The sequence below is a fragment of the Homo sapiens genome, chromosome 3 (genome assembly GCF_000001405.40).
Source record: "Homo sapiens chromosome 3, GRCh38.p14 Primary Assembly".
Lineage (NCBI taxonomy): Eukaryota > Metazoa > Chordata > Mammalia > Primates > Hominidae > Homo > Homo sapiens.
Window position 1 is genome coordinate 82,067,068 of NC_000003.12, and position 27,503 is coordinate 82,094,570.

The 27,503-nt window shown below is 35.7% G+C and overlaps 1 long non-coding RNA gene across 1 annotated transcript in view, besides 1 other annotated feature; it reads left to right on the top strand.

The window, feature by feature from the left end:
* Positions 1 to 27,503, top strand: part of LINC02008 (long intergenic non-protein coding RNA 2008) — a 477,534-nt gene that overhangs the window by 80,926 nt on the left and 369,105 nt on the right. The window lies entirely within an intron of this gene.
* Positions 21,858 to 21,927: a silencer, noted in NCBI's record as "silent region_14542". NCBI's record gives its function as "represses an Ori minimal core promoter by ATAC-STARR-seq in GM12878 lymphoblastoid cells {active_cell/tissue: GM12878}" and the evidence as "EXISTENCE:reporter gene assay evidence [ECO:0000049][PMID:35858748]".

Consider the following 27,503-nt stretch of genomic DNA (forward strand, 5'->3'; position numbering starts at 1 on the left):
ATAAGCCTGGAAGTGCTGTTGAGAAGCAAGAGAGTTGATCTCATCTATCAATCCTGGAATGAGCTCAATCTGTAGTAATGAGCATCTTCCGGTTGAAAGGGTTATATGGGAAATGGTATTCTCGGGGACTTTGTAATGAAGGGGTTTCCAGATTAATTTTGAAAAAAAAACTTAGTTAAAATAATTTTGCTAAAAGATTTTTACTTGGACTCTGATGTCTAAACCCCATCACCAGAGCTCTCTGTGGAGTAGAAGGGCTGAGGGTGGGAGGGGCAGAGAGTGGTCTGCTCAGGGACCACCTTTCCTCTGTGCTACTCCTTAAGGCGCCAAAAGGAGCCAGGGGTTTCACATGTCATAGTTTGAAAACCACTGGGGCAGACAATAAAAAGCAATTAGCTTTGAATTCTGCGTTGACACTTGACTCATGTACTTTTTGGCTCTGTGACCTGAAGAAAGCCACTTACGCTCCTTGAGGCTCAGTTTTCTAATCTATAAGACTGAGATAACAATAGCATTTTGAAAGAGTGGTTCTGATGATCTAATCCGTTGGTATAAGCGAAGGTGCCTTGTGTAGTTTTAAGGACCTGACAGAGCAGGTTAATCTTTCATTCAGAGAGGGCCTCTCCAGTTTTCCCCACAGGCCCACATGCCGCAGGGAACTCGGGCAGCAGAAACTGTGCCGCCTCAAGTTAGTGCTTGAATATCTCAAGTTTAATAGCTTCCCCAAACCTGGTTGCTTCCAGGCATGTGAATGAGCACCACTGTGTAGTGGAGTCTTGTCATCACGGGCAGGGACTTGCTACGGTGTCCGGGGGTCAGAGTCCATGCATGTTAACAGCACTATCAAGGGTACAACCTAAACCTTCAGTCTCAAAGGTCTGACATAAAAAGAAAGGAAATCTTTTTTTTTTCTTAGAAGTTTAATTCAGAACTCTAGACTTCTTGACACTCTTTTTGAGTCTCTAAGGGAGACTTGAACTTCCTATATAATTTCTTTCTTTTCTCACCTTACCTCCTTCTTCTTGCTTTTCCTCATCAGTTGCTCCCTCACTCCACATATTGATCTTGTATTTTAATGATGATTAGAAGTCATGCATATGTACAGTAGGTTTCTGGAAACTTAGAAACTGTACATACATCTTTTCTTACTTGTCATGTGTCCCTTTTGATTAAAAATGGCATTACCAAGTTTCCTCACTTTCCTCATTCCCTTTGTTCCAATTGACATTGAATTACAAAAGAAAAATCAGTTCCAACTTCAAACACTGAAGATGCCATATCCTCAGGAAAATGCAAAAGCTTGTGACTCATCTTTCAAAGGCAATCTTTAAACAAAAGTTGCAAAAGTACTTTGAGTAATGACAATAATGCTAAAGTAATAATTCCAAGAGCCATTATTAATTAATCACTTGTTTAGTATAAAGCACTTACTAAGTTCCATTGTATTTAACTCTTAATTCTTATAATACCCATATGAAGGAGTTAACACTATTATCCTCAGTTTACTGATGGGAACATGGAGGCACAGAATGGTTGAGTTAACTTCTCAAGGTCACACAGCTAGAAATTGAGGAGGTAGTATTCAAAGCTTGGCTGACTGCAGAGACTGGCTTTTAACAATACGCTATCACAATGTAAGTTCATAGTTTCCAAGGTGACTGATTTGTCAAATGATTAATACCAATTGCTCTCCTTCCCAAGATAAAAGTCAAAAAGATAGAGTTAAGAAGAAGAAAGCCTTTGCACTGGTCTGACTCACTGGTAGTTTTATGAAACAGTATATAGAAAAGGGAATATAATTTTCATTGATTCATGTACTCTCAGATGCTCCACAGCAGAAGGCTTTAGAGGACTCAACAGATTGCTCCCTAATCATCCAAATCCAGGCATTTTCTCATGAATAAAAGTTTGTAATATTTTCAAACTATTTAGAGATTGGCAGCTGGATACACTATTAATTCCTTTTGGAGCATCCCACTTAAGATGGGCTTTAATGCATGCAGCATTTTATTTTTAATTAAAATACTTAGTTCAGGGAGTATTTATTAATAATTCTAACAGCAGCAGATGGACTGTTTATGTGTTGTAACAATCTTTACCCAAAATCAGTCAAAATAATTAACAAAATGTAAATTATTAAGCACTTAAATATGTATTATGTATCATTACCATTCCCATACCATATTTTCATCTTTTATGAGTAAAAAAAAAGACAGTTAAATAATAATATATAGAATATTGCATACCAAATGTTCACAAAACTAGTTTCTGAAAAGAGTTTCTTGTTTTGTTACATTAAAAATATCATTTGTATCGGTAGCATTTTCTAACATTCCTGCTGCCTAGAAATGGAGTTAAAGACAAAATTAAATAAACAGAATGGTTCTTTGGTAAAAACATCTAAAGTGCTTTGCAAAATAATTGCTTCAAGTATTGAACAAGAACTTGAAAGCCAGGTGTGTCGTCATTTTTTGTTGAGACCCTGGAAAGTTCTTAATCTGTCCATTTTTCTGCAATTTGATAGGGTTGTTTTGTAACTTACGGTCTTAAAATTTCTTGAGAATTTTTGGCAGAAACAACCTTCAGTGTATAAAAGTATTTTTTCCTCTGTCTCCCTTGTCCCTGCCTCATTCTACAATCATTATGCTGCCTCTACATCTATTTCTTTGACTCTTCAAATGAATAGTATTGCTTTATCTTCCTCATGTTCTTGGGTCATCAAAGTGAAATGCAGTTTTGTAACTGTCTTGGTGATCTCTGAGCACTTTATACTTTTTTTTATAGGCTAGGTTTTAACTAGATAATGACATTGAAAATTACATAGACTGAGGCTGGGTGCGGTGGCCCACGCCTGTAATCTCAGCACTTAGGGAGCCCAAGGTGGGTGGATCACTTGAGGTCAGGAATTTGAGGCTAGCCTGGCCAACATGGCAAAACCCCATCTCTACTAAAAATACAAACAGTAGCCAGGTGTGGTGGTGCACACCGGTAGTCCCAGCTACAGGGAGGCTGAGGCATGAGAACTGCTTGAACTCAGTAGACGGATGCTGCAGTAAGACAAGATCGTGCCACTGCACTCCAGCCTGAGCGACAGAGAGAGACTTTGTCTCAATAATAATAATAATAGTAATAATAATAATAATGAATAAATAAATAATATAACTAGCAGAGTAAAGATTGTTTCATGGTTAAGACTGGGCATAACTCATGTACCAATTTGCTGCAGCGTTTGGTACAATATGTGTCTGTCTTAAAATTATGGAAACCATGAGTTTCACAGCATAGGTCCTAAAAACCATGCTTTGCTGTGGAAACAGTGTTTGTAGAAGTAGGGATTAAACAACTGCAATTTAATTAAAGTTGTATTTAAATTCAACTTTTAAAACTTATGTTAATTCAATTATTTAAATTCAATATTTTAATTCAAGTTGTATTTAAATGGTATTTTTAGATTATAATGTCAGCGGTAAAAGAGAACTTAAAGGTCATTTCAACTGTGTGACTTTGAATTTTGTCCTCATAGGCAATTCGTTTAAATTACCTAAGCCTTAGTTTCCTCACATGTACACCGAGGACAGGAATAGTACCTACCCAATAGATATATTGTGACTATTAAATGAGTTAGTCGGGAAAAATCTTTAATACAGCGTGTGGCATATGATAAGAGACTTTATCTAATCCATCTCACTTCCTGAAAAAACTGATGAAGAAACTAAGTTCCTTCATCATTATTTTTTCCCCCTAGATCACTAAATAGCTAGAAATGCCAGAAACAGACATGACATATCATGGATTCCAGGTCAGTGTTCTTATTTAATTAGGTATTCTTGATGCCTATTTGTTGGAAAAGAACATTTGTCTCTTAATTTTTGGGTTATAATTGGCAATAAATAATCACATTTTGTCTACAGGAAGAACCACATCAGTAAATTAGTCTTAGAGAGTGTTCAGTGGGTGCACTTCAATTATTTCATTTAATTTGCATCAAAAATATTTTAATCTAATTTATAATCTCTCTTATGGTTAATCTTAATACTTGTGAATGTTTTGTAGTAAATGTTATTTTCATAAATTTTTACCCTTTATGTAGTTTAAATTATGTTGTAGTTAAAACTATCAAATGATCACCATAAACAATTACTGTGTGGGTTTTAACATCTAAACAATTTTAGTAACTAAATGAAACAGATTTTTTTGCAATTTGACCAAACGCATAAATCAGCAAAGCCAGGTGCAATACTTATTATAAATGAATGATTTTATTAATTTTTAGATCATTAAAACTTTTGCCTTCCAGCAGCTGTCTTCTGGAACAGCTGCTAATACTTATATATAACATTTGTCAGTTTGTTGCATAAATCACATATATTGCTTTAAGGGAAGTTTAAGACATATTAATTATATTATATTCACTGAATGATTAAACTGATTTCAATTTTTTTGAAAGATTGGTAAGATAATTTGTGAATAGAGTTTTAAAAAATATTTGACTACTTATTATTTACATTTTTGTAAAATTTCCTTCTATTTGTGGGCCAAAGTAATTTATCTTATGACATGACTTAGCGTAAACCAAGATGATGATTTATATAACTTGCTTAAAGATAAGACATTAGCAGTTGTATTTATTTCCATGTTTTTTGACATTGAAGGTTAGTACTTACCACGTATGATGCCAACTTAGCAACGATAATGCATTGTCAGTGTGCAATGTGTCTTTCACCATTTAGTTCCCTTCTTTTCTCCCAAGTAGACATCTGTGGTCCATTCAGGGCAGAGCCACTACTCCTGGACCATAATGAGTCACTACTACTGTTCAAATGTCATCCGTTGAGGTGTTGAGTCTGTCTAGTCCCTGAGGTGTTTGAAGGCAGTCCTTCATTCTGCATTTCCTTCTTAGGTGGCTCAGGACAGTTGCTAAGCTTTGCAAAGTGCATGTGCAGTTGCCTTGAGGTTTCTAGGGTAGCATGTGTCTAGAGAGTTGCCAACATTAATTACCAGCATTTTCTGCTTCATATGGTGGCAGGGAGGAGAACTGGGGATTGAGCATGCTAGGTAGAACTTGAAGGAAAAAAAATGCCTTGTACTGTCTGCATATTTAGCATTCTGTCAGCCCCCTGGTCAACAGATCCTGCAAAAACCCCCAAGTAAAGCAAAGATGCAGATGCTCAGGGCTTGGCAATCAAAATCTTGGAATATCTCTAGAGTGGGAGTTGGCTTCATTAACTACTGTCAAATGTCTACCTTCCTAAAACCTTTATTCTGCTTGGAGTTTTACGTAAATGAGGCCATGACTCTTAGGATCAGAAATAAGGAGAGGGAGAAAGGAAAGAAACTAAGATCAATTTAAAAAGTTCATTCTTCGGATGTGAGGATCTCCTCGCCACAACCCAGTGAATTTTCTGAGAATACTTTATGGGGTTTTCAGTATTTTCTGTAAGCCAGTTTTACCAATTTAAAAATGTTTCCTAGTTGGAAAAGTGCATTTTACTTTATTTGAATACATTTTTGGTAAGCTTGTTAAAATACTCATACCTACATAATTTTTTTCTCTCTTATCCATCAATTATTTGGAAGTGAATCTACCTATTCCAGTAAACCCTATCCCATAGATGTTGGTGTTTAATTTTCCTTTTTTATCAAATCATCTCACTAATATTTTGATTTTCAATAGTATTATTAGCATTTTAAAAGATAAGTTCTGGACTCATTTTTTTTCAACACATAAAGGAATCTGTGTCCCTTAAAATTAAAATATTTTCTCTTCTATCCACTAAATGGTCCTTTACATAAAGACCTTGATATTGATAGCCACTCAATTCTCATGTAAACATTTACTAAACATTCTGAAATTTCTGTGTTGACTATATACCTTGATAATATTTCTATCTTTTTTTTTTTAACTGACTCTTCTCTCCCTCAAGGTGTTTCTTATGTTCTTTACATTGGATTGAATCACTTGCTGTGTGAGGGGAGAGAGCCTATCTGCCTGGATGCTGATAAGGTTTCTGGCAGAGTTGATGCTGAACACATGCTTGCTGAGTGGAGAAAAGGGGACACCTTTCCACTATCGTAATTTAAGTAAAAAGAGGAGGGTAGAGACATCAGACCTCTTAATATGTACCTCACTGAGGAGAGAGAATAACAATTCTTTTCTAGGAAAACTAAAATAGTACAGGGCTAGAAAACACTAGTTGAACATTGAAACCAACTAGAAAAACAGGTTCCTAACAGTCATTTAAAGCCCTAGTGAATGTATGCCCCAAGAGAAGAGGTTTAGAAACATTTAGCAAAGCTATACTTTGACTTTACTGAATAAATGAATCTTTAAAAGTAGCCCAGATTTTTATTTTAGCTTCAAAATTTGCCTTGGTTGTCTCATTGGAACCAATTTACAAATGTCAGAATTTGCATTAGAGTGACATCATATGGCTTTAATTAGGTATGTGATTGTTCTGGTCAATGATAATTATGAATTATTAGGTTCTACTCAAGCCAGGGAACTTGGATCTCAATTTCATATTTTAGGGTGAGGAGACAGTAGCAATGCAGTTCCTAAGGACAGAAAGACCAAAGTTTTGCCAGTTTGGAGTACCATGTGCTGTATTTGTAGATTACCTCTATTTTCTAGCTTATACCTGTCATGGAAAAATCAAAGCCCTTTCAGAAATTATACGTAGATAGATTATGCAAGTCTGTCAAATAAATGCCTCCTGTACAGGAAGGTTGGTAAGTTTTTACTTAGTAAAATCAGGAGGCAACTGTCAGAGACAGCACTAACATGGATAAGACTGGGTCATTTAGAGACTCACAAAGAAGACCACTGTCCTCGTTGGGAACTATGACAAAACAATGTCATTTTGTAATATAAATCCACCAAAAACTCATTAATAGATTCTGTTCATGGCCTATAAAAGCCATTCTCTCATTTCTTATTGCTTATGAAATCTCGTTTAAGATATTACATCAATCACATAGAGGCCCTTTGAATTGAGTAAAAACAAGGTCTGGCCTTGTTTGAGGTGGTTTGAGGTGAGCATATATCCTAGTTTTGGCCTGGGAAATAAAGGGGAATATCTACTAGAGTTTCTGGGAAGGTTTATTTTCACGGATAAAGAAAAATTTTGTTTTGCCTTTTATTTCCCACTGATCTGGGATGTGGAATAAGACAATAATGCCTGTTGCAGTGAAAGCCATTTTTTGACTATGAAGTGAGAAAACTAAGGAAGAAAAATCAACATATTTAAAAGGACAGAGAAATAAATTAAAAGACCCCAGTGTTAGTAGTAATATCATTGCTGCCACTCTGGAACCACCTGTCTTCAAACTTCTTATTGTGAGAAATAATTATATCCCTATATGTAAACCATTGACATTTGGCCATTATATTATTTGCAGCCAAATGTATTTTAATTGATACCATTTGTTTACATTTGAACATGCTCTTGTGTGAATAATACGTGCGTGTTTTAGGTAACTATGAAATATAAACATATGCATATCTTCTTTCCATTTTTAGAGAGGGGATTATAGGTTTGGGAAATTTCATATTGTAGAATCCATTGAAGTTGGTGTTATGTAATATTTACTTACAGCAAATAAAAATAAAGTCTATATTATGTAAAATATATAATGTACATGATACTAGTGAACTATAAGGGTGTTTACTTGAACCTGCACTCTGAATGCGTACCATAGATGGCCTTACTGATAAATTATGTCAAAATGACTTCAACTTATCATAACCTACAATGCTCTAATCACATACCGGTCACAAATAAAGTATTTGCGTATGTAACTCTCAAAAAGTCATTATTAATCATTAGGGAACATTAACTGGTACTTTAAATGGAAAATACACTAATGGAAAAAAAATGACTTGCTGTTATTGGTAGCTATGTTGGATTAAAATGCCACTTTTTTGACATTCCTTCTATTAAGATATAGAGACCTCTCCCCTTGAATGCAGACAGATACTGCATTAGTGATGCTGTTTCTGTTTCTGGACCCAGGCCTCAAGAATTGGTGGATTCATTTTCCTTCCTCTGAGAAGACCCTCTTAGGCACTAGATAAGAAATCCAACACCTTGAACATTCTATGTTGTGAAGAAGCCCAAGCTAGCCATGTGGACAGGCCCCAGGGATAGAAAGTGAGAGAAAGAGACCTCCATCAACTCCTAATTGTTCTATTCCTCCCAGCTTAGATACTAGACATATAGGTGAAGAAGTCTTCAAATGACTTCAATTTCGTCTGTCATCTGACTGCAGTCACGTGAAAGACCCTAAGCAGGAATCACCCAGATGAGCCTGTCAACGCTCAGAAACATAAGGAATAATAAATTATTTTAAGTCACTAAGCATTGGGGTAGTTTGTTATGTACCAGTAGATGACTAGTGTAGTGACCAATAACTAATAAAAGAACATTATACTGTGGCAAAATATTTTTACACTTTGGAAAAGAAATTGGAAAGGGAAAACATTTAAATTAAGTTATCCAAATTGGAAGAGTCTGTTTTCTGCCTATCTTCTGGTTCTCTTTGTATATGAATTTATTTTTTAAAAAAACAACATGTCTACTGCTACACAGATTAAAAAGCTGCTCAACATGAGTGGCAATGTTATGTACATAGCCCCATTTTATCTTTTGTCTATGTCCGGTGGATTGAGATGGGTGTGCCTCCTGTTTTAGAATATCCAGTCTTCTTTCTGTCATCCTGATCAGTGATGCAACCAGAAACTTGAACACTGATATAAAGATTTCCTTTTCCTCCTCCAGAAAGTTCTTGCCCTTGAGCAGGATTCAGTAGAAGCCTGCAATATTTGAAGCAGTCACCTAGCAGTTGTTTAACGTGGCTGACTATGCCCTGCAGGCTTATACAGAAGGAGATAGAGCAGGTTGTCAATTATTTCTGCACTCAGGGCTACGGACTAACAATATGCTTGAGTGAGGCAGAGGTTACACATCAGCTGCAATCCCACAGGCAATCCAAATCTGCCATTAATGGTAAGGAACTAAGAGTTTCAACAAGGTTGAGTTCCCTTGGTTGTGAGTTCCCAGTGAGGCAAACTTGGACCAGGATATAACAGTTCTTGTTAAGATAAGTCAGTGCATCAGCTAGAAGATGAACCGGTAGGAATGGCAGCAACATGTCATCAAATTATAGTTCAAACTCCAAGGTCTATGTGTTGTCAGGCCTTTATGACTCTGAGGCCTGCATCTTACTGACAGCACATGCAATCGGAGAGTTCCTGCAGATGTTACTTCCTCTGGAATAAAACTGTTGCATGAATTTACCTTATCATCATCCCAAAGTGTAGCCATTTTACAATGTTAAAACTATGGAAATACCTAATGAAGTGATTAGGGCATCTAATTAGAAGCCTCAGATTCAAACTTTGACATGATTTAGGGTAGTCTGTGGTGAACATATTTGTTAAGTTATAGAATGAAGTGTTGAAGACATCAGCTATAAATATTCTATGTCACCTGTTGGTAGAAAGGACACTGATCTAACAAATTTTTAAGTTAAATTAGTTCCACGATAACAAATACTGAAATAGTCCCCAAGGAAAGACCATTTCACATAAATATCATTTATTTTTCTAACCAAATGAAGTCTCCTCTTTGAGAATGCTGTGCTCCTTTATAGCATATTATGGGGATAGTTTCAGTCCACATACTACAGGATGGTCACAGTCCTCCAAGATATTTCTTTTGATCTTTCCCATGGTAGATTAAAAAAAATTGTTTCCTTTTTCACACATTTATCCAGATGTGTGGATAAATCTAATGAAATAAGAAACACAGGTTATTCTACTATTAGATCATATGAAATATTTATCATTTCTCCCCTTCTTGAATTAAAACTCAGTAGAATAGGTTAACCGTGGTCCTACGAAGCCCTACCTTTCTTTTTCACTCATTTGTCTCTCACTCTTCTGCGGTTTTCCTCAGAATCATAAAAGCAGATTTTAACTCATCTTGGAGTTTAGTATATAGTTGAGGGAAAATCATCCCTGGCAGACGTTTTTTTCTTCTGAATTCCTCATTATGCCTTGGCTTCTGGTATTCACAGGACTGGGATTTTGCAATGCTTCCATGAAACACTGGATGGCTCTGAGTTTAGTCTAAATGGGGAAAGGGCCAGGAAATAAACAGGAATTAAAGGAAATGAAAATCACAAGGAACAAAAGCACACTAATATGTTAAAATATTGCTTTCCTCCTTTATCAAATACAGTGAATCCCCTGTAGGTTGAACCTTTCTTCTTTTAGCTACATCCTCATATCATTTTTTTTCGTTTTATTTATTTTTTATTTTTTGAGATGTCATCCGGGCTGGAGTGCAGTGGAGCTATCCGGGCTCAAGGAATTCTCCTGCCTCAGCCTCCCAAGTAGCTGGAATTACAGGCACCCACAACCACACCCTACTAATTTTTGTATTTTTAGTAGGGACAGGGTTTCACCATGTTGGCAAGGCTGCCCTCGAACTCCTGACCTCAAATGATCTGCCCACCTCAGCCTGCCAAAGTGCTGGGATTATAGGCGTGAGCCACCATGTACCCAGCCTATTCATGTCTTTTTGAAAAATGTCTATTTCAGATTTCTGGATAGGGACCTAGGAGGATACTTACACTACATAGGGTGTCACTACATCTTCTCTCCTGGCTATTAGTTTTCTTCTTTACTATTACTATAGAAAACTAAAGCAGTCAACTTTGAAACCATTTTGATAGGAAATTATAGTGGTTAGGTTTATGTGTCAGCTTGGCTAGCCTTACGTCCAATCTATAGTTATTTAATCAAGCATTAATTAAGGCATTGCTGTATTTTGCAGGTGTGATTAAGTGAATAATCAGTTGATTTTAAATAAGATCACCTGAGTGGCCCTGATTCAATCAGGTGATAGGTCTTAAAAGTACAACTGAGGCTTCTCTAAAGAAGGAGTGTCGGCCGTGAGCAGCAGCTTCAGCTTGTGCCTGAGAGTTTTCAGCCTGCCCTTCCTGAAGGCTTGTGAACATGCCTGGCCACCACCCATAATCCATAAGCCAATTCTCTGCAGTAAATCTCTTAATATCTATCTCCCACTAGTTCTGTATCTCTGCTTGGACCCTGTCTGATACAGGGAGAAAGAGTTAATGGGTGATAATGGCTGAAGATGTTGTCTTCCTATGGAAAATAATATTCTTTTTAAATGCTTTCAAGGAGGCTTTAAATGTTGGCCTTATAGGTTCTGTCCTGTACAGTTCTCAGTGGCACCATTTGTATATCTTATGTTTTAAATGCCACCTCCTGAGGATTTTCAGTGTGATAGTTTTGGTTTTAACGCTGTTCCTTGAAGTAGTGAAAGTGTGGCAATTTGAGTCACTGTAGACGTCAGCTGTCTTGGGCTTCAGACACCAGATGCTGTTGATTGCTTCTCTACCTATGCATAAAAGCAGCCCCAGTGTACCCAGATTCTGAAAGAGTATTATTGAATCCATCTATTAGCCAAACTGTGGAGAATGAAGGATGAACCTTGCTCATAAAGAATTGCTGCCATCGAGGTTAAATGGTTGTGTTCCTAATAGCATGACATACTTTAGATGGAGGCCTTGGTGTTTGGAAAAGGGCTGGGTACTGTAAATTAGATTTCCAATCCTGGTATTGGAAAATAGCATATAAGTCATACTGTTCTGCAGGGCTGGTGGTCTAACCACCAATCTAATCATTGCCAAGCAGAGTTGTACTTTCTGGAGCCTCTCGGGGTTACTATTCTTTCAGAGATGACACAAAACATTTACTGAGTAGAATATGTATCTATTTTTTTCCAGTATTTCCTTGCGTTTCCAACTTTCTTTCGTCCTGTCTTTCATCCTCACTTCCTGATTTCTCTTAGTTTCACTTAAGTGATTCAGCAGGGAACTCACAGTTCTGATAAATTATTCTTATAAAAATAAGATTGTTTGGCTTATGATAAAATGACTATACCTTTGTCAGGCCTTCAAAGGAAGTTTTACTTCAGATGTTTAAATGTCAGAGCACCCTATAAAATTATCTAGAAGCACTGAACTGTCCAAAATAATTTTACAAAACCCCCCATCTTTTAAATTCTATCTAACAACTGTCAGTATTGCAGTGTCAGATCACCCAGCGGCATATGTGTGACCTCGCGGTATGCTGTCTTTTTAAAAAGCATGCACTCTTTCGCTTTCCCTAGTCCTTTTCTCCATCTGCCTGCTGACCCATGTGGCTGTTTTAACATCCACCTCAGTGGAAGCCTCATACCTGCCTGGCCAGCAGAAAGTAACACAATGACAGCAGTTTCTGTGGGACTGAAGAGGAGGGGATGAGAAAGCTTGGATGTCCTGTCTTTTTCTGGACAGCTAAAATGAAGATAGAGGACAGCTCCAGGAAAAGTCATGCCCTGGAATTTTCAATCAGCATGCATCGGTTTAGGGAGTGGGTGAATAAATGGGCAATCTATTTCAGGGCAGTTTCCCTTCTGGAAGAAGGGGCAATTTGTTTTAGGGTCACGTGCTGGGTAACTATCTGCATAAGAAACCCTAATAATTTCCAGCACAAGCTATTCACCAGAGAACCTTGTGACGACTTTCTCAGGAAGGTTAGTTTATAATGAATCAGAATCTGTCAACAAACTGATCACGATTGTGTTCACCCCAGTAGTCACCGCAAGTGTGTTCAGGGTGGTAAGTGCTTCCTTTGAGAGTATACAAGATTATTTACAGGCTAATTTTCATCTGAATTTCTTCCACACTTTTTACCATGACATTTAACTGGTATAATTTCTTCATATGATCATGTAGACAGTTATGTTGAGAGACCAAATGCCTCTTTGCTGAATTACATGAAGCAAAACAATATTTTAAAAGGAAACCAGCAAAAATGTTATTTTTACTCCTAACCCCCAAAATGACCTTTTTTTCCGTTAAATGTAGAGAGAAGTAATTTTTTTCATTAGAAAAGATTGTCTTTTTTTTTTAAATAATTGACTGGGTTCAGTAGATGGAAATTATTGACTACATAAGACTATATAAAAGCCATATGGAGGGGGTTACACTAATATAATTAAAATGTATTGATAGTTTTAAAAATACTTAGTCGTATAAACTATCTAATGGGTGTGTTCAAGTCTAAGTTATATTAATGCCAGTGGACGTTACACCAAACATACATGTGGTTGCCAGATTTTATTTTGAGATTTTAAATTTATTAGAACCTCAAACTCACATTAAAGGTCTCGTGTGGTAGAAACAAAGATTCCCTTAAACCTCTGTGAACTGAAATTGCCATGTCTCATATAGCTTTACAGTTTTACACAAGAACACTGTGGCGAGATGAAAGCTATGTTCTGTGACATCCTCTGTGGTATTGTTGTGTCTCCAGCTCTCTACCCTTGAACAATCCTGTTTGGTGACTTCTGTGTCTCTGTGGGTAACTCAGGAAATCTGTCTGATGTAACATCTTGGAAGGCACAACTCCAGGCTAACTGATCAGAAAACACTTACAGAGCTAGCTCAGACTATCAGTTAGCTTTCTAAATCTTCATTATGTTAAAACAGAAAATGTCGTAGTGAAAAAGAAGACAGTTTGTCCCCATATCTCTGTCTCAAAAAGTATGTTTGTTCACTGATGACCCAAGGATTTTTCCTAAAAAATGAAGTTGGTCAAAGGCAATCAAAGACAACTCTTTATTTTGGAGAGAATTCAAACTTTGAGGCAGCTGACTCCTCTCTGTTCAATAATAGCAATCTCTTTAATCAGTGTTAGGTCGATAGTGAAATATTTACTGTGGATGCTTCCAGAATGATTTGAAGCCAGCTCTTTGGAGAGCATTGATAATCTCAGGGTAATCTAAGCCATCCTTACGTGCGGTGTCAATGTGCTGAACTGAACAATGCCTCTGATACAGATCTGTGGATCATAAACAATAAAGAGCTATTTTAAGAGATTTCATATAAAATCACCTCTGACTAAGTACATGCCAGGGCAGATCTCAGTGGGGGAGAGGAGAAATGTGAGATTTTAGAATATCAGTAGTAAAGATCAGAACATGGTAAAAGCCCAATTACATCAAAGTTGAAGGACCTTTAAAAACATATTTTTAAAGTGGTGTGTTTTTTTGTTATTACTATATGTGCTATAACTTTTGCTCTATCTTTTGTTAGCTATCAATATTTTAGCTTTTCCTCTCATTACTAAATGTGCTTCAGCACTTCTGGGACAGAGATTATGAGATTTTCTACATTTAGTTGATCTCATCCTGTGAATTTACTGAATAATTAAACTTCTAGGAAGATACGTTGCTAAAAACAAGTGATGGGTTAGTTTTGACTGCAATGCTGTATAAATTATTGAAGTATATCTCTAGAAAACAAGCTTAATAGCCTATTATAAAGCTTATTTGAATAAAAAGACAAGAACAGTCACTCACAGAGATTGTCTAGCAGCACTTCACAGACAATTGCACAAATTATCTAAAGGTGGCATGACGTAAGCTCCATTCCATTTATAATATGACATAGTTGATATGGACCACTGCTTGCAGAGCCATATCTCAATTATTTTAAATAGAAAACTTTAATAAATGCACTCAATTAGAGCTCAGTTTTAATCAGTTGCAACCTGGGGTAGGCAATGTCACTTTTCAAAGAAGCAAAACCTTCTTTCAAACAATTATGGGACTTGAAAAGATTGTATGCATGGGATGAAGTTGTAATTCTAAAACACTAAAGGTGCTTCTGCAGAAGTATTTTGTAGTAAATTTGCCTGTGCAGCATACAATTGTGAAGAAAAAAGCTTGGGCAGGTTGTGACATGTTACCATTGGAACATTTAGAGGGGGCTTACTAGTAAGTTACAAATTTCATCTCCAAAATTCAAAATCTAGACTATGACAAATTATTGTATAGAAACACTTTATTTTATATGTTCCTGATTAGTAAGATTAATTATTTATAACTGATAGGGCATCAAGGAATGAATTATGGTTTTGAATTAATTTACAAAGGAAAACATGTATGCATAGTAATATTGGTACATTCACCTAAATTTAAACTATTTCTTATATTTACAATCAAACCTGGTTGACAATACCTGCAAGGTGTTTAAAGATACCAATTTCATATGATTATCTGTATCTATTCAATCAGTCATTTTCCAAATATTGAAAGTCTTCAGAATGATACAAGAATCCTCCATGTGGGCACAATGCAATGTTTTACAAATAAGCTTTATCAGTCACTTTTTTAGAAAGATGTCAATGGATATTTTAATAATTTAATGTCCTTCTTGATTGGATTCTAATTTGTAATGCACACACTACAAAAATATTAGGGTCAGAGTTACACAATGCTGCTAAAAGCATTCTATAATTTATCAAGATATGTGTGCATGTATACATAAATATGTGTGTGTATCCAAGTAATATAATTATGTATAACATTTAATATTCAACTTCAGACTCATATTTAGTTGCCACACCCTGGTACAGAAGTCTAATTGGACTGGTGTCTGCTCTGATAAAATTACCCTAAACAGATGTCAAAAATTTTTAAAATATTACTCTCTGTAAAACAAGGTGATCAAGATAAGCAACACTGCTTATTCTAAGGTCTCTGGTATGTATTAGTAAATTTTACTGTTCATGTGACTTCTGATCAGATTCTTTATGTATTGTGAGGTTCAAACACAATTGACACAAATAATGAAAATTTTCAGAAAAAGATTTATAAGAGCAAGATAAAACAAGGGGATCATTTAGCTAAGAAGAGAGGGGGGTTAGAGGTTAAAGTACTTAATGTTGAAAGTATGATAACCAGAAGCTGGGTATGTACACAAATGACAGATCAGAAAGAAATTGGTGTAACTGCCAATAGCCATGAGCACCCACATATAAAATACCCTTGCTTAACCTGGGGGTTGCTTTCATGCCTGAGAAGTTCTGTGGTTAGCAAAAACAAGTTTGAAATGTTCAGAACTCAAAATAGTGTTTTAAGGATCATGTTTCAAGATTGTTCTTTCTCTCTCCCTTTTAAAATTTTTTTTGAATCAGACACTTATAGCTTGAAATTTAACATCTTTAATACTTGTATTCTCCTTGTTCAGTTTTCACAGGAAGTAAACTGCCGAATAATGCCTATTTAAAATAAAAAATCTTGGCCTCTTGTTTTTCCAGAGCCTAGTAATTCATCTATTTATATGTTTTTTCAATCAATCAACTATCAGATGAAGAATAAATTCATCTTTTTTTTTTCCTGTGTCACCCATTCTTTACCATTCTTCAAGTATGGATCATTGATTGCTGTCAGGTTTTTATATTTAAGACAATTTTATTGGCCCAGATTATATAAAAGGAATCACATGTTTAAAATTTTCAGCATACAAACATAAGACTGTGTTATTTAAACCATAGTTGTTGAGAGTTAAATGTACATCAATTACAACTCCCACCCCATTCCTATTTTTCTCTTTAGTTATTCAAACTACAAATTTATGAAAAGAAGCAGACATGATGTTTTAATTGTTTACTTCTGCTATGTGACATAAAAAATTCAGGGTAAAAATAGTTGCTCTATAATTATTTGAATTTGGTTAACTGCTTGCTGATAAAATTAGTCCTACCTAGATCTAAATAATAGATAATTTTTTGTTTGGTCCTGTTTATTCCTCTTACTCATATTCCTCAAAAGTTTGCTATTCCAAACCAATCATTCCCTGTCTTCTTCCTAAATTTACCATCTGGTACCCACTTTCAAAATATGAGAAGAAGATGTATATACACACACATATTTGAGAAATAGTTCTATTGTGGGTGAGTGGCTAAATGCTGACATTCTATATACTGGAGAATCTTAATTCTCTCTCTTAGCTTCGTGATTACAGGCTGCAGTTTTATTCTAGACTTTTTTATGGAGTTCAAATATTTACCTAATATAAGCTAATCATTGCTTGGTTATAGAAATTGAAAAAATATTTTCATTAAAACTTATAAAGTTATATGACCAATGAAAAATTTCAGATCCCCACAATTATTCATTAAGAAGTTTTGTAAGATTATTTTGAGGAGCTATATATGTGTGTGTGTGTATACATATATATATAAATATTTATGTATGTAGGTATACATTTGCAACTTGGGATAAAAAAATCATGCCTCTTTTTAGGGATCCAGCTGGGCCATAATTTAAATCATGAAAAGTATCTTTTAATGCACCCAAGTTTGTTCTTTAAAAAATTTACCCCAGTGCATTCCCTCTCTGAATGTAACCTGGTGAAACTTTTTCCCTTTGTAGTTATTCAGCTCAACTAAATAACTTTCTAGATTGACACACTGAGCATTAGAAAATCAAAAAGAAGATGGTGAAGTTTCACAGTCAGTACTTGATTTGATATTCCTTTAAATTTAAATCATGACCCAGCTGGATCCCTAAAAAGAGGCATGATTTTTTATCCCAGGTTGCATTCTATTGAGCTGCTCTGTGAACTGACTTCAGAAGTATCTGGGAACATAGAGGCAGGTGCAGGAATGGTTTAGAGACTGAGGTAGAGATTAAGTTTTTCTAAGTCTCCAAGAGCAAGGGGAAACAGTGTTTCCATAACAGTTAAAGGATTCCACATGTGAAAAGGGGACATAATGAGTTGTCATTTCTACTCACTTTGTGGAATTTCTCTAATCAGATACTTTCTTAGGAAATCTTGCCTTCTGATTTTGAATAGAAGATACGATGTCAGTTTATGTGCCAAGAAGAGGTCTCCAAAGCTGTATCTTCTTTAGAAAGCCAATTTAGTTTGTGACTATTATTTAATTCATTTGAGTAGGCTGAGAGTCAAAATAATGAAAAACTCAAGAAATCAACCTTTACGGATTTTAGAATCAGTCATATAACTAAACCAGCCCCATCTTTCTCCCCTTTAGGAAATGACTGCTGGAGTTGCCAAGAACTCCTTCCTGTCCTGTTCTCTCTAAGGATCTCTATAAAATTATATTTTCCTGTAAAGCTCACAGCATACTTTCATTTCCAAGAGCCATGCAGAGATTTGGTGTATTTGCAATTGTGTAAAACTCTCTTCTCTAAAACACTTTGGTGTCTAAAATTTGAAGCTCAGGGAAGTTAAAATGCCACCCATCAGCATTCTCTGGAACACAGGGAGGCTCTGAGGGGTTAAAGTCAATCACTAGGACCACGACTACTGCCAATAATCCTACAGACTCAAATTGAATTTTAGCCATCCTGTGCACATGCACAGCTCTTGAAAGGAGAAAAAAAAATTTTTTTTCCCCTCACATGGGGGATGTAGGCAGAAACAGTGGCAGAAATGGAATCCATTGCATCAAATGGCTTGTGTGCTGATTGAATTTAAAATTGGACTTTCTTATTCCCCGATTTTTGCTTCAGAGATGTGAGAAGGGGGAGGCAGGTGTCTTGTAAATAAAAAATGTGACTCAGCTGTAAAACATGGAATGGGGGGAATAAAGAGCTTCATTGTTCATTTTTAAAAAGGAAGAAGAATAGGAATCTGCGTAACAAATGGTCTTGGCAGTTACCAGAACTCAGCTTCTGCACAACAAATCCAAATAGCATGACGCTTCTCTGATTCTAGGTTTTACTAAATTTTAATGAGTGTTGAAGTAACTTCATAGGAAAAATCTCACTGGCATCTCTAGAAATCCTTTTCCTTTTATTTATCAAAGCTTCCTTAACACTTTTAAAGAAATAGAAATAAAACAAAATAACTATCTTCCAAAATATTCTTTGACAAATAAAATATATTTGTGCTCTGACAGAGGGTGAATGTTTACCCAATAGCCTACCTATTTTACTCCACTTAAAATTTGCAGCGGAAGTTTAATCCAATAATTTGAAAATGTTTTAGTTTACTTAAATGATTTCTCAAACTCCATTATTTGAGAGAGGAAGAGATAAGGCAGCCAGCTTCCGTAGGAAGAGACATCATTTCGTTGCAATGTAGCAGATCCAAACATGCTATTTTCAGTATGTATTAGAGTTTCCTTACTTTGGTTTTTCCATCAAAATCATACACTAGAATTCGATATTCTCCTTTCAAATAAAGCAAATTCCCCGTTGTCTTCAAGAAAGTTGTTCTTAGCCACCTTGAATTTAAAGAGGAAAACTCCAACAGCAGTCAATAAATAAGAAACACATTGGTTACTTAAAAATTCTCTCTTGGGTATTGTCCAAGAGACTCTAGGGACCTGGGGAAATAGAGTATTTTAAGAGAAACAGAAACATACTTCAGAGAAGGAGGTATTGAATTTCTTCATGAATGTTTTTATGTTTAGGCTCTGTTGAACTAGGGAATAGGGATTTAAACAGCCTGTATCTTCTTTTAATGGTGTATCTTGGTTGCATACCCATCAAATGATAAGAATTACAGGAACACTGGGTGTTCTATTTGATTCTAAAAAAAATAAGACTATGAAAACAGTAAAAGTAGATGAATGATGGGCAAAATCTTGTCTAGAAACTAAGTTCCCAGTGAGAGGTGCATCAGATAAAATCAAGGTCCAAAGACAACTAGGTGCTATAGGTCCTGTAATTTGTTTTGTCGTATTGAAAAAAACTTTTAAAATATATACAAGATGTTGTGGTACCACTGAGGAAAATTAGAAGGCTTTATTCTTAATCCAGAAGAACATAGATTCAAGTGATGCAGGTGGGATGAAAAATTACCTTAAATAAAGAAGCAGGTATCTTAATTTATTAACAAGAATAATATCAGGCCAGGTGCAGTGGCTCATGCCTGTAACCCCAACAATTTGAGAGGCCGAGGTGGCAGGGTCGCTTGAGCCCAGGAGTCTGAGACCAATCTAGGAAACATAGTGGGACCCCATATCTACACTAAAATAAAATAAATAAAAAAATTAGTGGGGTGTGGTGGTCGGCAACTGTAGTCCCAGCTACTCAGGAGGTAGAGGTGGGAGGGTCACTTGAGCCCAGGAGAGAGGCTGCAGTGAGCTGCGATTGCACCACGGCACTCCAGCCTGGGTGACAGAGAGATACTCTGTCTCTAAAATAACAACAAAAGCAATATTACAAGGAGTGAGGAAAAAGATCTCCAGAATAGTCACAGAAAAAAGTAATTGAGAATCTTTGATAATAATTTTATCAGACACAGAAGAAACATATCAATTATAGAAATATCCTTATAGAAAACCTAAAAAAATACAATATGGACACAACCACTATAAATATTTTAGCATATTTTCTTTCATTCTCATTTCTGTGTTTGCATAAATGGAAAATTAATATTACTTAAATTAAAAGATTGCTTACTCCAATCCTTTTTTTAAAATCACATTATCCCCTACCACTATTCAGGTGCAGAGTTACCTTTAAATACCCCTTGCCCTGAATATGAGGTTATATACAATCTAAAAAATACTATGTTAACTAAAGTGCAAAGTGGATTTTGAAATGTATCCCGAGAACAGGATATTGAAATGTATTGAAATGTAATCCTGAGAAGAAAGCTTTCTTTTGCAAGAACCAGGCTTTGATAAGATAGAATAAGATTCCTATGTTTCAAGAAGTCAGAGCCTCAAAGACTTAACGTATTTATAATATGAACTAAAGAGTAATTCTCTTAAGAGCACTTTCCTTTCTAAAGTGATATAAGCACAGCTAATTGGCCGGGGATGGGATGTTAGAGAGCTTTGCAATAGAGAAAACAAGGTTATCACTGCCCGCTTCTAGCACTAAAACTGCAGACGTGAGGGTAGTGGAGCCCAAGCAAAAGACTTTTCGTGGTCGAATGGTGGAGACTGCAGGTCTATGACAGTTTTCACATACAACCCAATATCTAAGTGCTGTATGAGCCACGGCAAGAGAAGTGTCTATGTAGAAAATCTCAAGAATGCCACAATAGTGCAGGGAAAATAGCTTCCTTAGTCTCAGGTTAGAAAGAAATTAAAACATGCTGAGAGGATCAGCTAACTAGTAGAGGACTGAAATTGTGACTAGGCCAACTCAGAGAACAAGGGTTTTGAGATCACAAGGCATAACGAGGCCATGGACATAACTAGGAGATGTAGTGGATATGGTGGATACCAGAATCTGCTGAAAACCAGGCCAGGCAAGTTTGCAGGAAAAGGGATAGTGACTCAAACACATGTTTATCTACTGAATCAGAGACATTGAGAAAGCTCCCTGGGAACGTAGGCCTTTCTGGAAAAGAAAAATACAATGAGAAGAGAGAGAATCTTGATTTAACTTAGTTGAAATAATAAATTGAACATGTTAATGATGGAGTTATTGTCTATTTTAACTTGAATTATTTTTTTCTTTGATTCTTAACTGAAATGAGGACTTATGAACTAAATTGCTTTACATTTTAGTCAAACAAGTTGTCTGGCATCCTGATCATATAATTTATTTAATGATTTTATATTGATAGACATTTTTATTATTTTTTTCTATTTTAAGTAATATGCTATAAACATTATATATAGATTAGTATGTCTCACTGATTATCTTTACAATGACAAATTCCTAGTAGTATAATTACTGAATCAAAAAATCTGATTATTATTACATACTTTAACTTTCACTTCTGAATTAACATATCAATTTATTCTCCAATTAACATTGCCTAAGAGTTTCTGTTTCCCTTGTTCTAACACAGGCAGTTAAAATTATTTAACAATTCGAAAGGCCAAGACATGACAGTTTTAATTTTGTTTCTTTGATTGCTAGAATATGCGAAAGCCTCTAAAGACACTGAGAATACATTATAGATTTTCTAAAGTTTTCTTCTGTTTCCTGAAGTACAACAAAAACTACTATTCAGGGAAGCATTAGTTTTGCCTCTTAAATTGGCCCTGTTCTTGTGTCTGGGTTTGTCTGTTTGCTCATACTAAATAGGGGAAGTGAGACCTCTGTTCAGAAACGAAGTTAAAATCAGTTGGCTCCAAGAATGTGAAGTCCCTGTTCAAATGTGTCCATGATAAGGGAGAAGAGAAATTTAAGATTTGCTTGCTGGAGTCTTGATTTACCACATTAAATGGTCCGGTTGCCTGAAGGAAGCAAGGAGGGAGCTTTAGCTTAATGTGCCTATCTAGGAAGTATCTTCATTACCTTTCTGAAGATTTTCTTTTCCATTTTCGTTGCAGGAGAATGAAGTGAGTGAAAGTAGTTTCCGTCTTTCTATTTGGCATTTTGAGATACAGGGAGAGAGTTTAACAACACATGGACTCAAACTCCCAGTTGAGCAGTTGAGTATGTGTTAAGGCTTTTTTCCTTCAGAGGATTTTATGGTTTATATATTCGTTAGCGATGCATGAAAATATCTATCCACACCTTCACACATTCCAATGTACAACGTGATAGACATTCTATGCCAATATTGTGTAAATTTGGATTTCAGTGAGTGAAGGTGACTATTTCATATAATTTTTATTACTTGTTTTCTTTTCATATATGCTAGTCTAATGAAAGATATAATAATGCCAGAATATCAAACATGTATAATATTGCAGTAATAAATTACTCCGAAACTTAGCAACAACAAAACTTTATCTTAGAGAGTTTCTGTGCATAGGGTACAGAAACATACATAGGGTATTTGGGAGTTCTGGGTCAGGTTCTCTCAAGAGGTGTAGCATCATGTTGCCTGGGGGTACGGTCTTCTGAGGGCTTGACTTTACTGTTGGATGTACTTCCAAGATGGCTCACTCACATGACTGTTGGCTAGTATCCTTGGTAGCTATTGGTAGGAAGCATTCATTTCTTTCAATGAGGATTTCTCCATAGGCCTGTTTGTGCTGTTACAATATTGGCTTCCTCCAAAGCAAGTAATCCTAGCTAATAAGACAGAAGCCTCAATGTCTTTTATAACCTAGCTTCAGATATTACATTCTGTTATTTCTACAGTACCCTCTTGGTAACATGTCAGCCCTATTAATTTTGGAAAAGGACTGTAGAAAGATTTCAAAAGTCAGCCTCCTGATCCCTCCCACATGGATGCCATTCTCACCCCACTTGAATTGTGATAACCCACACCTGGCTGTCCTCTTACACAGACACCTTCATGTCCACATGGGTTTCAACACACTGCAGTGTTCTAACTTTTAGTAAAGGGCCGTGCTCACCCCTTATGGTCTGTGAAGCTCAAATTCAGGCTTTCCCAGTGTAAACACACTCTCCTTACTATAATATAGCTCTGGCCATCCATTTTGGGCCATTGTGTCAACAACTTTCCCTAACTCTTGAGGGAACACCTACTTTTTTCAGTCCCATGAAGAAGGCAAAAGGAAGGGTCGAAAGGGAGGATACATTTATTAATGGGAGGAATGCTAGTAGCATTTCCTGAAATATCAGGAAAAAGGCAAGGTGCTAAACATCTACATTTCTTTCCAACACTATGCTGAAATTTATATTAATATTAAAATAAAACAAATCAGTAGCATAAGGATTGGAAAGAACAAGTCAGACTGTTATTACTGGAAAATGATATGGCCCTCTACCTAGAGAAGCCAAAAGAATTTATGAACAAATTATTAAGTATTATAAGGGAGTTTAGCCAAATTGTGGGATATATTAGTACATCGGTGCATACAAATACATTATTGTCTTTTTACACACCATTGACAATGACAACAAAAATAGAAAACAATAATTAAAAATATAACTTATGACAGCAATAAAAATGAAAACTAAAAACTTCAAATGAAAACTAAAAGACATGGGTAAGACCAAATAAAAATTTTAAAATTATATTAAATATATTGGCAGGCTTAAATAAATGAAATATGTCATAAGCATGGAAAGAAGACTCAGTATCATAAATTTGTATAGCTTCTCACTTTAACCTATAGTTTTGGTGCAACCCAATTAAAATGTCCAAAGGAGTTACATAAATATTAATAAGATGTTAATTCTAAGATATATATTAAAGAGAAAAATTCTAACAATTGCCTAGTCAGTCTTGAAGAAGAAGAAAAGTATGGGAAGGGGGCAGTTGCCTTATCTGATAGCAAGGCTTCTTACAGAGATAATGCAGCATTAGGGCCAATAGACAGATATATTGACCAACAGAACAGATTATAGAGCACAAAAACATATCAATTTAATTAAAAATTAAGTGTAAAACATTAAACATTTTAGAAAGAATTAGAAGTCTATCTTCTTTTTTAAGTAAGTTAGAAAAAGCAAAAAACGTACATACAAAATTAATAAGTGTAATTCCATTAAATATGGAATGTCTTTTTTCATTATAATGAAGTGAAAAGGCAAGTAGCATACTAGGAAAAAATACGCACAATATAGATAGCTGGTGAAATAACATACAAAAACATAAATTGTTAAGAAAAATTTCAAGTAAAATAATAGGCAAAATACATAAACAGGTATGGCAGACAAATGCTAGGGTTGCCTTTGCCATGGTCCCTGCCTCCTGGCTGTTCATGTATTTTTGTGAGCCCCTTAAGCGTGGGCAGTGCCAGTGACTTACTTCTAATGGATAGAATATGGCAACGGTGATCGAATGTCATTCACAGGATTATGTTACATTACATAGACTGTTTTCCAAGCAGACATATGCTAGAGACACTTCTTACATGCGTGTTGAAGTATACTAACATTTTGAGAAAACCTTCATGGCAAAGAACTGTCGGCAGCCTCTGGAAGCTAGGGATAACCTCTAGAAGCTGAGGGTGTTTTCCACATGACAGTTACCAAGAAGTCCCTACCCTTAGTCCTACAGTCAAAGAAAATGAAGCCTGCCAACAACCTGGGGGAGCTTTGAAATATATTCTTCCCCAGTTGAATGGCCAGGTGAAAATTCAACCTGGCCATCAACTTGACTGTAGCCTAGTGAGACTCAAAGCAGGACCCAGTTAATCTATTCCTTGATTCTTGACCAGTGGAAACCCTGAAATGACTGTGCTTTGTTTTCAACTACTAAGTTTGTGATAAGTTGTTACACAGCAATAGATAACGGATACAACATGTAGTTCACAGAACTGGAAGGACATATGGCCAAAACAAATATATGTAATCTTATTAGTCATCAGTAAAATGCAAATCAATACCACAGTGAAATACCTTCTGTTTATCCAATATGTTGGAAAAAAATCTAAAATTTAGTTTGAAAATAACAAGAGCTGATGTGGTAGTGAATAAAATAAAACTCATTTCAATTTCTTTGAAAGTGTACATTGGTTCACTGCTTTGTTAAACAGTTTGGAATTATCTCGGAAATATGATCAGCAGAGTTGCTCTAGGGTGGGAAGATTAAGAGGCTGTAAGAGGGAAGGAATGTATAGGTGAATGAAAATTCACCTGTTCTGTTCTATGTACTGTTCTCATTCTTGGGTGGTGATTGGCAAGTGTTCACTTTGTTATTATACTTTATAAATAACTTATGATACAAATATCCCTTTGAATGTTTTATATATTATGTGATTAAAAGGTAATGAAGGAAAAATAATAAAAAAGAAAGGATAAAACTTTTAAAGATTTAAAGGGATAAATGGACAAACCTTGTTCTTGAAAATATCAAAACGAAACACTGACTTCTACTGTCAGTGTGTATGTAGGGGGTGAGGGAGTGGAGAATGAGAAAGTAAATAAATCAGCAAAATTTTGATGAATCGTAAATAATACCATTAAAAATATTCTAATACCACTTTTTCAAGAGAAAAGACTGAAGATTTATACAATAAAATTAAATATTTATAGAGTATTTTCATGTCTTTGCAGATAATATTCACTCTCCTATATCTAAAATTTAATTTCTTTCTTTTCCTCAACTTTTATTTTAGATTCAGTGGGTACATGTGCAGGTTTGTTACCTGGGTTATCTGGGATGCTGAGGTTTAGGGTATGATTGATCCCATCATTCGGGTCCCGGGCATAGTACTCTCACCCTACTCCTTCCTCCTCCTTCTAGTACTTTCTAGTGTCTCTTGCTGCTATCTTGCTGCCATCTTTATGTCCATGTGTACCAGTGTTTAGCTCCCATTTATAAGTAAGAGCATGTGGCATTTGGTTTTCTGTTCCTGTGTTAATTCACTTAGAATAATGGCTTTGGCCGGGCGCGGTGGCTCACGCCTGTAATCCCAGCACTTTGGGAGGCCGAGCTGGGCGGATCATGAGGTCAGGAGATTGAGACCATCCTGGCTAACACGGTGAAACCCCGTCTCTACTAAAAATACAAAAAAAAAAAAATTACCCGGGCGTCATGGCGGGCGCCTGTAGTCCCAGCTACTCGGGAGGCTGAGGCAGGAGAATGGCGTGAACCAGGCAGGCAGAGCTTGCAGTGAGCCGAGATCGCGCCACTGCACTCCAGCCTGGGCCACAGAGCGAGACTCCGTCTCAAAAAAATAAAAAATAATAATAAAATTTAAAAAAGAATAATGGCTTCCAGCTGTATCCATGTTGTTGTAAAGAAAATCATTTCATTCTTTTTTATGGCTGTGTAGTATTCTATTGTATGTATGTCCCACATTTTCGTTATCCAGTCCACCACTGATGGTCACCTAGGTTGATGTCTTTGCTACTGTGAATAGTGCTATGATGAACATGCAAGTCCACGTGTCTTTTTGGTAGGACAGTTGTTTTCTTTTGGATATATATCCAATGATGGGATTGCCGGGTCAAATGGTAGTTTTGTTTTAAATTCTTTGAGAAATCTCCAAACTGATTTCCACAGTGGCCAAACATTTAAATTCCCACCAACAGTGTATAAATGTTCCCTTTGCTCTGCAGCGATTCCAGCATCTGTTGTTTTGACTTTGTAATAATAGCTATGTTGTTTTGACTTTCTAATAATAGCTATTCTGACTGCTGTGAGATGGTATCTCATTGTGGTTGATTTACATTTCTCTGATGATTATTGACGTGGAACATTTGCTCATATGTTTGTTGGCTGCTAGTACATCTTCTTTAGAGACATGTCTGCTTCTGTCTTTTGCCCATCTTTTTTTTTTTTTTTTTAATGGGGATCATTTTGCTTGTTTAATTTTAGGTTACTTAGATTCTAGATATTAAAACTTTGTCAGATGTATAGTTGTGAATAAAAAATGTAATATCTACTGAAGCTATTTACAACTCAACATCATATACTAATACTCTTCATTTAGGAATAAATATTATGGCCTTCATTCAAAACTGGAAAAATATTATACCCCCAATTCCTTTATTGTGTCATATAGCTTATGGAAAAAATGTTAATTTGCTTTCCTCTTGCAGAAGAATGTTTAATGCTGTTAAGGAGTTGATGATATAAACTTTAATGCTATCACTATTAATTGCTAAAATAATATATGGCATGACCAGAAAGGATGTATTAAATTTATATCAAATTAATTCCATCTTTTAGTTTTATTTTCTCTATATAATACATGATAATGAGATCTCTCAAAATTCTAAAGCCAACGCCACACATAGTATCTTAGATATTAGGCCATGCGAAATTAAACTGGAGTCTTTGCTACACTAGGAATTTTAAAATCACATTTTTGTTACTTGAAGTCAACTTCG